Source organism: Homo sapiens, chromosome 7 (genome assembly GCF_000001405.40).
Source record: "Homo sapiens chromosome 7, GRCh38.p14 Primary Assembly".
In the NCBI taxonomy this organism is placed as follows: domain Eukaryota; kingdom Metazoa; phylum Chordata; class Mammalia; order Primates; family Hominidae; genus Homo; species Homo sapiens.
Genome location: NC_000007.14, coordinates 20,026,637 through 20,042,100, shown reverse-complemented (window position 1 = coordinate 20,042,100; position 15,464 = coordinate 20,026,637). Strand labels below are relative to the sequence as shown.

Genomic DNA, 15,464 nt, shown 5'->3' with positions numbered 1-15,464 from the left:
GAGGAATTTGAAGAGAAGTTGAGAAAGGAAACTGCTGCTTTTCAGTATAAGCCCATTGGGCTGGGTGCAGGATATATGGAAACTGTGCTATCTGAAGTTTTCTTTAAATCTAAACCTGTTCTAAAAAATAAATCCTACTCTAAAAAGCAAATATATGCCATTCAAAAGAAATATTTGTTTATAAATTATTAAATTGTAGCATATTAAAAAGCCTAATAGAGTGTCTGGCACACAGAATAAGATTAATAATGGTATTTCCTTTTTTTTATCCTTACGGTCTCAGGAAATTGATCTGCCATCTGGACATTAAACTGTGTGCTTATTCAGCCTTTCTTCCTCTCCTTGTCTGTTTTTTTTTGCCATTTGATTCACATTAATTCAGCCGAGTGCACAGATTTTGGGGAGTTCCTTATTTTGGAAAACCTTCAGACAATGATTTCTATAACAGGGCAGCACTTTTCTATTTGTTGTAGTCTTTTAATAAAACACCTTGAAAAACTCATCTTTTATCAAGGTTCTTGGACATTTACCCTCATATTTCAGTAAAGTACTAAAAAAAATAAATTATTAAAAATCATTCTGAATAACTCACATAATCCAGACCCTTCTGCTTTTATTGAATGCTTGCTATGAGGCTAAAACTTATCTAAACAAGCAAAAAGAAAGTCTATTTCAAAATAGAAAGGCAACAGTTTTTAATGTCAAGAGCGATAATGATAATTCAGGGTTTCCTGGGATAATTTCCACATCCTAAATTATAGCTTGATTATGCAGGAAGGATTATTGGACCAAAACTTGACAAAGGGGTCCTAGTTCTTGACTTCCTTCAGTTTGGGGCTCCCTATCGGTCTTACTGTTCTTTGCTTATAAGATGCCTAATAGCAGCTCAGCATCCTCTAGTTTCAGTAAAATTTCTTGAGTGCTTAACTTTCTCTTTGTTACATAGTATTACTAAACTGCCTCCTCTTGAGCCACTGCATTTAGTTCCCATACATGTAACTATTTTGAAGTTGCAGGAACCTTCCCTGGAATTATGTACCCTGAGTTGGAGTTTCCTCTTCAGAAACTCTGTTCTTGGGTATGACTTGGGACTTCTCACCAGCTCTGTCTCCTTCCAACGCCATGGAAATTTAAGCTCTCTGGGATCTCTCTATACATTTTTTGCTACTAAAAGAGATTTTTCTTTTCCTTCTCCTCTTTCTTCATAATGATTAATGTAAGATGAATTCAATAATTCAGTGATATTAGCCTCTTAATGATGTAAGGCTACAAAAAGGAATGTGTTGAACAAATATTCATTTCTATTTTCTGACCATCTGTGATCTCCATTTCCTTGTGATTATTTCCTTTCCCCTAAGATCCCTTTAGGAATCAAACTGCCTAAGCTTAATTTGAGATCAATTGTTATGTTGCGTCTTAGACAGGTGGATGTACATATTTTTGAGTTATAAAAAATAAAATAAATCACACTTTCCTAAATTTTCTACTTTAGGAGCTAAAAGAAAAACGTTTTAAAAATTTGAAACTTGGCATGCATAACTAGAGAAACAGAATTAATGCAAGTCTAAATGAAAGCTGCTGACTGCTTTTCAAAATAATTAGTTTTGGAATATGTTTGATCCCAATCTCTTAGCCTGCCTCAGGTGTTGGGGGAAGGCTATGTGAGGAAACTGCATGAAAGATGCTGTATACCATTACCATTGCCTCCTTCAATGACCAACACACCCAATACAGCACACAAGATGCTCCCTTGGAAGGTTAAATGTGTATAAAATGACAGTGTGTTTAGTTACATTTTTCAGTGACTCATATTTGGAAAAATCCTAAATTAATTCATAATAAATGAGTTATATTTTAAGACATTTCAAAAGTGCCTGACATATTATATTCTATGTGTTTAAATAATATTATATGTATTTAAATAACATACATGATATAAATGGTTATATATGCATTATAAAATTTTTAAATAATATATGTTAGTACATATAAATGTGTATATATACACATAAATTAATATTATTATAATTCTGTAAATATTCAGTTTAGAAAACATGACATAATATAACCTAATTAACAATGTTAATATTGCCCAGATAAGAAAACTACAATTAAGGGATATTATGTGGCATTTCCAGTATAGCACTCCTAATACAAGACAGAGAATCAGCTTAATAGAGACATTTTACGGTGGGTGCTACCTGAGGATAATGGTAGGTGCCTTCCCACTGTCAGAGGTGTGTGAACCAGAAACCCCATCCTGAATAGGAGCTGGGTAAAATGAGGCTGAAACCTACTGGGCTGCATTCCCAGACAGTGTTGGCATTCTAAGTCACCGGATGAGATAGGAGGTCAGCACAAAATACAGATCATAAAGACCTTGCTGATAAAACCGGTTGCAATAAAGGAGCTGGCCAAAACCCACCAAAACCAAAATGGTGACGAGAGTGACCCCTGGTCGTCCCCACTGCTACACTCCTACCAGTGCCATGACAGTTTAAAAATGCCATGGCAACGTCAGGAAGTTACCCTATATGGTCTAAACAGGGGAGGCATGAATGATCCACCCCTTGTTTAGCAGATCATCATGAAATAACCATAAAGATGGGTAACCCATTCCTGTATAGCCACTGCTCACCCTCACTCCTTCTAAACACAACCTCAAAAACTGCCAGACTTAGGCCAGGTGCAGTGGCTCACGTCTGTAATCCCAGCACTTTGGGAGGCCGAGGAGGGTGGATCACCTGAGGTCAGGAGTTCAGGACCAGCTTGGCCAACATGGTGAAACCCTGTCTCTACTAAAAATATGAAAATTAGCCGGGCATGATGGTGCACCTGTAATCCCAGCTACTCAGGAGGCTGAGGTGGGAGAATTGCTTGAGCCCGGGAAGCAGAGGCTGCCTTGAGCCGAGATTGCACCACTGCACTCAAGCCTAGGCAACAGACCGAGACACCATATCAAAAAACAAATGAACAAACAAACAAACAAAAAACCTGCCAGAATTGTAAATGTCTTTAAGCATGTACTTATTTTTACTTTATACTCTACATAACAACAAAAACATTAAGAATATGTCTTGGTTTATGCCACTTTGAACTGTTTAGAAGCGAGATGTGAGAGTGTGAGAAATGCAGTAAATGCATAATTCAAAGAAGCAGACTGAGAAAAGAGAAGGAAAGGAAAATAGAGCTTTCCCAGATTTTGGATGAATCATTAACCACTGGTATTCTGCCATTTTGCTTCAAAATGGGACTCATGTTCAATCATACCCCAACAGCCCTTCTACCATCTGTTTTGAAATGCAAATTATGCAACATTTTGCTTAAATCTAGAGCAATGTAGACTCTTCCTCTATGGTCGAAGATCATATTTCTCTCTTTTGGGTATGGAGAAGATAGCAGATACATTTAGAGATCTCCATGCTTAGAAATACCTCATCTGGCGATCCCTTCAACCTCATTCTTCCTTGCATAATTTTTAAAATTTTTAAAATAAATTTTAGTTATGTGAATGCTATTTTATATGACACATTCATTTGTTGGCATAATAATTATCCACTGTTCAAATTCCAGGTAGCAGATCCAGAAATGATTAGAACACTTAGGATAATGAATTATTACATTTTCAAGGCACATCAGTGAATGTTATGAAGAGGTGAGCAGAGGACATCTTTACTCCTTGCATAATCTCAGTCTCTTCAAGACCTTCCCTTGTGTACAGCACCTAACACTTCATGGCCTGTGCTTTTAACATCTATTGTATGAATTTCTTTACTCTTTGTCTCTTTCATTGTGTGTAGACTTTCCTTGCATTTTGAATTCAAACTCCCCAAGGGAAACAGACTAGGTCAGCCAGGCATTATTCAATATAGGCTGTTCCTGTAGGGCAAGCGCTTACGCCGTGTTGAGATAATTCAACATCATAAGGGCGTCAGTAGATAAATTTTCTTTCTGGAATTAGTCACTTTGATTCTAAAAATATAATGACCCTAATAATAAATACTAATTTTAAAAATATACATATAAAATATTACATTGCTTACTCCATGGCTGATATATGGAAAAGAGGCATCTCCCCTAAGTAGTTCAGGAACAAGGTAAGATTTCCAGTATCTTCATAACAGTTTATTAGAGGTATTATCCAATGTGATTATACAAATGAAAGAAGTTAGATACGTAGGAATTGGAAAAGAAGAAGGGAATTTGTTTCTTATTGCTGCTGTAACAAAGTACTACAAATTCTGTGGCTTAAAACAACACCTATTTATTAACTCATGTTTCAATATCAGAAATCTGACAGGTCACACTAGGCTAAAATCAAGTTGTTGGAGGCTCGAAAGGAATATTGATTTCCCTGTCATTTTTAGCTTCTAAAGGCTGCCAATATTCTCTGGTTTGCGGTCCTTTCCTTAATCTTCAAAGTGTATCACCTCAACCTCTGTTTCCGTTGTTACATTTCCTCTCTGACTCTGACCCTGCTGCCTTTCTCTCCTTTAAGAACCCTTGTGATTACACTAGATTCACCAATATAATCCAGGGTAATCTTCCCATCTCAAGATCACTAACTTAATCACAACTGCAAAATTCCTTTTCCCATGTAAGATAACATACATAGACTGTGGAAATTAGGATGTGAATATTTTATGGGGGTGGGGAATATTCTCTCTACTACAAAAAAAGAAAATTATCTTTTTTATCAAAACAAGAAAACTACCTCTTTTTGCAAATGATATGATACTATACCTGAAAAATCTAACATAATATGCATTAAACCTAACAAAAATAATGGAAGAGTCTATTAAGCTAACGTAATATGAAATTAACATACAAAAATTCGTTGAATAATATGATAGAAATCATAATTTGCCATAGCAATAAAAATATAAATTAGAGAGACCCTTAAGAGATTTGCAAAATCTATATGAAGAAATCCTTAAAACACATCTGAAAGACACAAGAGTAGATTTGAACTAATGGAAAGACATCATTCTTTGTTCTTGAATATGATGTGTCAACATCATAAAAGTGTCAAATAGTAACAATTTATTTTCTGGAGCTATTCATATTGATTCTAAAGTATACATGGAAAAATTAGCATGGAAGAATAGTTAAGAAAATCATGAGAACAAGATTGCAGTGATAGAAACCATGAGAAAGGACAGCAATAAGGGTCTTTAATATCTAGTCCTGAGAGATATTCAATATATTATAAGGCCTTTATTACTAAAATATTGGCTCATTAATATTAGGTTGGTACAGAAATGCAAACTTCTATGTGCAAAACTTTTAATGACAAAAGCCACAATTACTTTTGCATCAATCTAATATATTGACTTAGTGGTTGATGGACAAATTATTAGAAGATAATTGAAAGTTGAGAAATAGATTCAGTTACATCTAAAATTAAGTATACGATGATGTTCATACCTGAAAGCTCTGGGGAAAATACAGTTTTTTAAAAAATAAATTATATTGGAAAAACTTAACTGACATTTGGGAAAATAATAAAAGTGGGTCTAGATCTCAACATATACCACAACAGACTTCAAATTAAATAGAGAGAAAAGAAGAAAGAAAGAAAGAGCAAGCAAGACATATGAACAATAGAAATAAAAGGGATGAATTATTTTTTAATGGTTATGAGGAGAGATGGAAACTTTGGAATCAAGCTCTATATGCAATAAATAAAAAGATTGATACATTATGCTGTATTAAACATAAAATTTTTTATGGAAAAACATCACAAGCAAAGTCAAAAACCTTATGTCAAACTGGGTATCCCAATCCCTTAGTGTAGTCTCCTCTTTTACTTGGTTCTGAACTTGGCCATGTGACTAACTTTGGCCAGTTTGGTAAAGTAATACAAGCAGAAGCTTGGGAAGTGCTTGTGACTTGATGACAGTGACAGGAGGCAGCCAAATGCCTAGGCAGATGGGACAGGTACCTGGTGAAACCCCGCCTCTAAGATGAAGACAGTTTAAAGCCTGAAAGCCAAGCTACAAGTTAAATCCTCGGACTGGATGAGAACTTGTCTTCCTGTTTGGCCCACTTTTCTCTGATTAGTCCCCACCCTTCACCTATTTTACGTATACCTACCCTTTTCTAATTGGTTTTCTACACTGTTATGCCCATGTTTGAGTGGTGTCTTCTCTTTAAACTGTTTTTGTATACTCACAAACCAATCAGCACGCACTCCCCATCCTGTTCCTATAAAGACCCCAGACTCAGTCAGTAGAGGAGGAGATGACTTGACTTCAGGCAAGAGACAACCTGACTTAGGGGAAGATGACCTGCCCTTCCCATCCCCTCTCCAACTTTCCTCTCAGCTGAGAGATGTTTTCATCACTCAGTAACATTCTCTACCTTCACCATGCTTCAGTAGTCCACGTGACCTCATTCTTTTTGGACTCTGGACAAGAGCCTGTGACCCACCAAGTGCAGGTACCCAGAAAATCTGTCTCACTGGCCCTTTGCCCTTGCCAGCGGAGGGCAGTCACCCCACACAATGAGGCAAGGGGCCAACTGAGCTGCTAATGCACTGCCATTTGTGGATGGCAGAACTAAAGGAGCACTATAACACTCCCTCTGGGCTTCAGGGTCATGGCACCCTCACCTGGGCACCGATGTGCTCCCCTCAAGGTGACACGCCTGGTCTGGCCATGGGCCCTGCACAAAGCTTGCTTGGGTGTCGGTACCCAGAGTGGCTGGCCAGATCTCACACTCTCTCATGTGCTCCTTCCTGCAAGGGGCTGAGCACAGTGGGCTGAGTAGACTCAGCAACCCTGCTATGAGTCTGGTGAAGGGGCTGAGAAAAATCCTGCATCATTGGGGCTTGGACTTTCTTGCTCCAGGGAACATTTGCTCCACCATATTAACAACACTGCTGGCCTTGCTGATGACAGACATTCTAGAGAGGAGCCCCAGCCATCCTAGTTGTCCCAGTGGAGATTTGTCCCAGTGGAGATCCTTGTTATGGGAATAAAGCCAACTCCACCCAAACCTTCCTGACCAGAAGACATGACCAGGTGACCCATATAATTGTAGGGGAGAAACTGTCTGGGAGGAACTATGTCGTCAATTATTTCCTGAATAATAATGATAATTATAATTTTAAGCCTTTCAAACTCTTTCATATATATTGTCTTCATTGATCCTCTTAATACTTTAGTAAAGTATTTAGCCAGGCATAATTTTCCTCCTTGAAATACAGAAAGGTTATGTGATCTGCTCAAGATGACCCAGCTAAGTGGGAAGACAGCTTGTGTGCTGCAAAAGAGCATCCATTTTTTTTTTTTTTTAATTTAGGAGACTTGAATTACTAATCTTATAACTTGGTGTTTGTTCCTATGCAAGTGAATTCATCACTTGGATCCTTAGTTTACTAACTTTAGGTGGAAAAATGCCTGCGTACCCTTATAATGTTTTTATGAAAATCAAATGAGGAAAGGTTTTGTGAAATGATTTGCACAAATTCTAAAACACTACACACAGTGAATCAGATTGGCTTCCTAACTTTTAGTTTAGGAAGTTTAGTTTAGTTTAGTTTAGTGTTTCACAGTGGTTAATTTAAAAAATGAAACTTTCTTGAAATCGATAAACTAGCACATTATATTTCATGGTCTTTCTATTCAAATATTTGGTCAGAACTGTATCAAAATGTCACAATAAGAGCAGTAGCCCAAGCCTCATGTTATTTCAATCTACCAGAACCACACAATGGGGAAATGAAGAAAAATGCTAGAGACAAATTAAACAGCACCATTAAAAATGATCAGTGACTTCAGTAATCTCCTGTCCAGTAAGAGACTCTTTTTGAATATGAGCCATGATTTTTCAACAAAGGAGGAAGTGTTTTTGAGTGCTTTATGTATGTCAGATATTCTGCAAATGCATTGCATACATGGCCTCTTCTTTTACATCTTGCAGCAACCTCTTGAAATGTTATACAATTTCCATTTTAACACGAAGACACTGAAGCCCAGGAATGTTAAACAGGGGACTCCTAAAATTTTATTACTACGTCAGGGAGCTGGGAACTAAACTCTGGTTTGTGCCCTAATTATGATTCGAAAAACAAAACAAAAACAACTTTAAAAAATCACTAGGTTTCCCAACATTATTCAAACTGTTGTTTTGGTTGCAAAATCATTTCATTGTTAATAATTATAGTTATGTTGCTCTTTGTCAAACAAGCATTCTTGCTATGTTTTAACCGCAATGACTAGCTCCTAAGTGATACAAGGAATGGAAATTTTAGTACAGTTAGTAAGACAACCTCATGATGATTTGTAGCATCAGCTCTATGATTCCAAAAATAGAGCTCACTGAAGCAACACAGCCTTTGGCTGACACAACAGCAAGCAAAAGTCATTCTAGCCCAAGGCTTCTAGTTGGACCTTGCATTTGTTAGAACTGCTTATGAATCTTCCTTTTCCCTTAACAAGTGGGAGCCACTATTGCTCCCTTCAGCACAGACAGTGCCTTTGATTTAAAATGCCCGTAGACTGCTTAGGCCAAAGAAGGTATTTGGGGAACCATTTTCCTCTATGGAAAAGCAAAATAACTCCTAGAGGGAAATATCCAGTAGAAATGACATTTGCAACATCTGCAACACAGCAGGGTGATCTCTGTGGACTGTATTTTCTGTCTGAAAGAGTTGTAAATGCTGAAGAGACATAATGCAAGGGATGGATTTGTTTAGCTGTGTTCTCCAAAAGTGCTTATCTTTGAGTTTAGGTTCTAAAGAAATAATCAAAAAGGCAAGTGAATGCACCAGACTTCAGAGGCGTAAGATTGATTTGTAGAGGAAATAAACTGAGGTATTTAACTTTAGAGACAACACAGCTCAAAAGAACAGTCATAGTAGTTTTTGTGTCTCCCTTAATTCATTTTTCTGTCTCTCCCTTCCTCCCTCATTCCTACCTCTACCTTCCCCTTGAACATGGGTTCAAATGATGATTAAAAAAGCAAAAAATAGTAATATTTTATGCCCAGTTACCTCACTGGTGTTTTATTGCTGAAAATAGCAATGAATCATGCTTGGTTTCAATGAAGTAAGTATCTTGTCCAGTGGAAGAGAGATTTGTTTTTTTTACCCATTGAGTGGGTAGTGTTTTCCCTAACATCTGCAAAGGCACTTCCACTCTCAAACTACTATAACAAATCAGAATAAAAGACGTACAAAATTTCCAATCTCAACAACTTCCAGTTTTTGGTAAAGATATGAGATGGGATAATGGGACTTCTATATAAAAATCTATTTTTAAGTTTTTAAGTGCTTCAAAAGAAGATCCATCTCTGGGGAATGAGGATGTGATACAGACTACACAACCCTTGGTGCCACTCTCATTACATAGTCTAACCAAGTGGGAATTCAAAAGTAACTTTCCAAAGTATCATTATAAGGACATTTATGTCTGACCAGATGCATCAAGATGTCACATTCTCATGGCCTTTGCATTGATTCAAACAAAAGTAGACCCTTCTGAGATTTTGAAACTTTCAGCTTCTTTTCTACTAAAATATAGAATTGTGGGTTGTATTGTGATTCAAATAAAGTTATGCCTTACTTACATTACTGCGTAAAATGTATACAAAAAATGCAGTCTCATTTTGAAGTATTTTGTGGCTTATTAAATAAAAGCAATATATTACAATAAGAGCAAACAAAAGAATATTGTTCTATAGAAATTAAGTTATTGATCTACCCACATATAAATGCAACAAATAACTTTTGATTGCCTATTCTGTGCTCAGCTCTGTGCCTGGTTCTGGGCATATACAAGAGGTAAATGACCTTCTGCAAATTGAGATGGCTTTTTGGTGACCTCATAATATCATGGCCTAATCAAGGCTATGATTAAACAAAAATAGTCAAATGCATAGTCATGTAATAGATTTGTAGAAGCAACATACAATGCAAGTCAAGGAATATGACAAATTAAGTTGGGAATTTCAACTGGAGAAGAAAGCAGAGAAAAGGTCATTGAAAACATAGCTAAGTGGCCAGGCTAGATAGTGTTCACTTCTGCTGATCTGATTAAATTGGGATGATATACTGAACTCTCTGACACAGACAGAATATTTTAGTTTTCTGAGCAGATAATTTGATGAATAAGGAATAAAAAGTCTGTGTTTACAGCCTACATATATGAAAAAGTTATGATCTGGGCAAAAACTTACAAGTAAATCCTGGCCTTGACTGAAGGATACTGTATTATAGAGGTATAGGTGCTATTATAGGAGTGTTTGCCTATATCCCTCTAACAATCTTTGTGAATTATGGCACATAAAAGGCACTGATGCACCTGGTTCTTATCACTGATTTCATGGAAGATGCTGATAATCAGTCGTTATATGCTTTCCTCAGAATCTTTCTCAGCACTGTGTTCTAAGCAGCCAATGGCTAACTACCAGAATTGGTAATTAATATAAAAGATTTTTGTTACTCTGCTTCTGTATGCCTAATTAGTGGTGACAAATTATGTTGTGAGATGGTAATTATTTCTCAGGACAGAAAAATGAAATGATAGTCTCAATATTTATTGATCACCTTCTATGAGTCAGTCATTGTGCATTTAAAATTACCTTTATTACCCCATTTGACTTTGAGTCCCACCTAGTGAAAAATATATTACTATCGTTCCCTTATAAGAGATTAAATAACTTGCCTAAGGTCAGGTAGCTGGAAAGTGGCAGAGCTGAGATTCAAATCCAGATCTGTCCAATTTGAGAGTTCAGGTTCTCACTGTCTCACCAAACCTAAAAATGCAATTTCCCCTCCCCTTTGTCAGAATTGAAGTTCAGTTTTGTGGCTCTGAGTTGACTTCTCTTTTCTAGTCATATGTCTAAATTAAGCTCCCAGGGATTCCCCCTCCTACCATTGCTATTCCAGGGAAATTAGTATCTAATGTTAAGCTCAAATTACATAGTTGTAGGTATTTATAAAAATTCCTGTGGGTAAATGTAGCCACATGAATATGGTAAATTGTATTTACTCATATTGTAAACATGAGCATCTACTGTGTGAGACACTTTGATAGTCCTTGTGAAAGATAAAAAGACAAGGCATGTGAAATTCAGCTGTACAAGACACTCAGGAGATCACATATTTCATTTTCTTTTGTTCTGCTTTCAGAAGGAAAAATGATCTGTTTCTAGCTGTGGGCTCATTGTGGACTGTAGGGAATGACTTTAGAAGACGATTTTGTTTTTAGTAAAGGCAAACTAAGTTATTCACACTCACAATCTATGACTAAACTTGCAGGATACAATCTTTCTCAAAAGCTGTGGATTACTGACAAAATAGTATGAAGTTATTAGGCCAAATAAAGGCAAAACAAGAACCTAGAAAGGTAAGCAGAGCATGAATTTTCTGTTGCATTACAGATGCTTCCCTATTTTAGCAAATTTGTACTTTTACTTTGATGCCTTATGAGTCAAAAGGGAATAAATTAAAGCTCAGAGGACATACAAGTAAAAAGGCTTAGAGGAGAACTACTTCCAATAACATCCAGGACAGCAAAGGGCTGCACCCTCAGGATAAGAGTGAACCAAAAGCTTACCAGCCCTGCGTGGGCTTGCCGCATGGTTTCACATTGTCTGGGCAGTCTGAGAATCTCAGCTCCACATTTGCTTTAAGGTGAATCTAGACTAGAGGTGCACCAAGGCACCTAGCAGAAGCAATTGTGCTTTCTTTTTGAAAATATTATAGTACATTTATCTGTACTTTAAATTATCAAAATGATTTTATTTCTTAAAGAATAAACATCAAATAGTCAAAATTAACAAAGCACATAAAGATATACTGCACCATCAGTGAAAAGAGACCCACAAAGATTCCTGTAAATTAGAATTTTCAGATTCAGATACAGGCTATTATATTGGAGGAAAAAAACAACTATGCTTATATGTTTAAATAAGTGAAAGATAATTTTGAAAATACATGCAAGTAATATATGCAACTTAAAATATTAACATAGCAGATATGTAAGTTTACAGATTTTTACCAGATGAAACTTTCAGAAATTAAAAAAAAATTAAATAATTCAAGGAACATTTTAAATAGCAAATTAGGCACAGCTGAAGAGATAATTAGAAACTTATAGATGCATCAAAAACAAAAATAAACTAATATACGGCACTGATGAAAAAATGTTAGAAATTATAGAGAAGAGGGTAAAAGATAGAATATCAAGTGAGAAGGTATACAGTATAATTAATCAGTCTCAGAAAATAATCCCATTTTCGCTGGGGCTTTGAAAAGACAATGGTTGAAAATCTTCCAGAAGTGATGACACCAATTTGCAGACTCCATATCACAACAAACAACAAGCATAAAAATAAAATAAAATCTACATCTAGAGGCTGAAATTTCACAGAACAAAGAAGATAGAAACAAATTCAAAGCAGAGTAAAAAGAGGGCAGCTATTAAATTTGCTCAGCAGCAAAAATGGAAGTCAAAATTCAAAGGAATATTTGAAATGTTTTGAAAGATTATAACTTAGAATTCTACACCAAGTCAAAATAGATTTCCAGAATGAGCTAAGAAATATTTTTATGTAAAAATAACAAATACAAAAATTTAAAAAATTGAGAGAGTTAATTATCAGCAGAGCCTCATTAAAGGAACTTGAAAAGGGTTGGGCATAGTGGCTCAAGCCTCTAATTCGAGTACTTTGAGATGCTGAGTGAGGCAGATCACTTGAACTCAGGAATTTGAGATCAGCCTGGGCAACATGGTAAGACCATGTCTCTACAAAAATTAGCCAGGCATGGTGGCACGCACCTGTAGTGTCAGGAGGCTGAGGTGGGAGGATCTCTTGATCCTAGTAGGTTGAGGCTGCAGTGAGCCATGATTGCATCTCTGTCCTCAAGCTTGGGTGACAGAGTGAGACCCTGTGTCAATAAATAAGCAAATAAAGAAATAAAATTGAAAAGGATATATTTCAAGCTGAAATAAAATGATTCCATTGGAAGATGTGAGAAAAAGAATGAATGGAGAACAAATAATGTGGTCAATAATAATCATATTAATTTTTTGTGGTTCTTAAACAATGTAATAAAAATAACAAAATGAATAATATAGAAGTTGTATTGAATTAAATGGAGGAAAATAATCTAAGGTCTCCATATTTGCAGGGAGAAGAATAAAGACATTGTTGAACTTAGACTTTGACAAGGTAAGTAAGTAAATTATATTATAATTTTTATGGTAACCATTAATTGGGCATATAAATAAAGATAATGCCTTTAAGTAAGTGGGGTGGAAAATACTGAAATATTTATAAAATATTTGACCAATCCAGTAGAAGAAAAGAAAGGAGAGAAAAAGAAATAGTACAGAATAAATAGGTGAAACCACAAATAAATAATTACCTTCCAAATGAATAGATTATTTTCTCCAATTATAGAAAAAGTAATTCAAAATACAGTACAAAATCTATATACTGCTTATAAAAGAAACATGGAATATAAAGTTTAAAGTGCAAGGAGAAAGGAGGTATGTTCAAAGTTAAAGGAAGTCTACTGCTGGAGGTGAAGACTTCACAATAAGCTCATCAACAGAAACATATAACCCTTTTTACATTTGTAGATACCTGTATTAGTTCATTCTCACATAGCTGCAAAGAACTACCTGAGAATGGATAATTTATAAAGAAAAGAGCTTTAATTGACTCAAGCTCTATAGGCTGCACAGGAGGTATGGCTGGGGAGGCCTCAGGAAACTTACAATCAATGGCAGAAGGTGAAGGGAAAGCAAACACATTTTCACATGATGGCAGGAGAGAGAGAGGGAAAAGGGAAGTGCTACATACTTTTAAACAATCAGTTCTCATGAGAACTCACTCACTATCACGAGTACAGCAAAGGGAAAATCTGCCCCCATGACCCAATCACCTCCCACCAGGACCCACCTCCAACATTCAGGATCACAATTCAACATGAGATTTGGGTGGGGACACACAGCCAAACCATGTCAGTACCTAGTAACATATTCTTAATATCTATAAAGACAACACACACACACACACACACACATACACACACACACACTCATATGGTGTTGAAATTCATATGCAAGGAGAAATAGATAAAACCACAATATTAGTGGTATAACTGGACCTAGGTTCCACTGCTCACTACCTGCAAGCCAAACATTAGAGGCGACGGTTGGTGGGAGGATAAGCAGATTTAATTGGAGAGCCAGCATACTGAGAAAATGGTAAACTATCACGCTAAAGAACCACCTTAAATTTTAAAATTTACCGTAGGGTTTTAAAAGAGAAACTTGGTATGAGAGATATGCAAGAGTAGTGCAGGATCCAGGGTCTGTGTGTCTTGTTCCTATGGCTATCTTGGGATATTGATCTTCCTGAGGGCTTATTGGTCTTACCTTGACTTCCGTGCATGGTGGTAGACTCATTGTTCACGACTACCCCTACTCGGGAAGATTCCACAATGGGGTCTCCTTCCCTCATTTAAGATTAGCCTTTGGTATTTCTTAAACGAGAGCATAATTAGGGAAGCATGAATTGCTAGAAGATGGGAATGTCTAGAGCATTCCCTCAAAGGAAGGAAGTGAGTGGGGAAGGAAAGAAGAAACAAAAAGTGTATGATTTTTAAAAGTGAGGTCCCCTATTACACTACAAAATGAATTTTACTAAATTTGGCTACTAAAAAAATTTAAAAAGCTGAATGGTTCTATAAATATTTTTAAAAATGAAGTTGGCAGGCAAAAAATGTTCCCTAAAGAATATTCCAAAAACCAAATGGCTTCCCTGAGAAGCTGTTCCAAATAAAGAAATAACGACAGTGTTAAGCAAACTATTCCACAGAATTAGGAGAAACAGAGGATTCTTACTCTACTCTGCCCAACATTTATCATTCAGCAGTTACATTGCATGTCTCTGGTGGGTACAATACATAACTAGATGCCAAGTACATAATAGTGTAAAACACCGATAGTGTCCTGAGCTCTTCTAGTGCGGGATATGTATATTAAATAAGTTAATTTAGTAATTGTTCAATCAACATTGTGAGTAGGTCTTCAAGGTTAGGTATAGGGTCCTGATCCTGTATGGCTGACATTATCAGGAGCGTCAGGAAAAGTTTCAGTGAAGTAACATTTAAATTTCAATCAGAAGGAAGTTTGCTAACTGAGAAACAGGAGCAGCAGGAGCGCATTCCAGGCATTTCTTTTTTTAAAAAAAAGTTCCCTAATTAAACAAATAATTTTCATCTTTATTGAGATATAATTGACCAGAATTGCATATATTTGAGATGCACAACTTGATCTTTTGAATAACATGGTCACAATAAAAGGTCACATGATTAAACCATGAAAATAAATTTAAATTACTCCATCTCTCTTTTTTGTCACTGCATCCAACTCTATGAAGCAAATGATCTTCTTGATAAAAGCCTCACACCCAGAATCCTTACCTCCCCTACGCTGCAGTTC

General features: G+C 36.2%; 1 long non-coding RNA gene across 1 annotated transcript in view; it reads left to right on the top strand.

Annotated features, from left to right (window-relative positions):
• Positions 1 to 15,464, top strand: part of MACC1-OT1 (MACC1 3' UTR overlapping transcript 1) — a 221,446-nt gene that overhangs the window by 98,326 nt on the left and 107,656 nt on the right. The window contains exon 3 of the long non-coding RNA NR_110114.1: positions 13,142 to 13,182. This is a non-coding gene — a long non-coding RNA (MACC1 3' UTR overlapping transcript 1). The remainder of the gene's footprint in view (positions 1 to 13,141; positions 13,183 to 15,464) is intronic.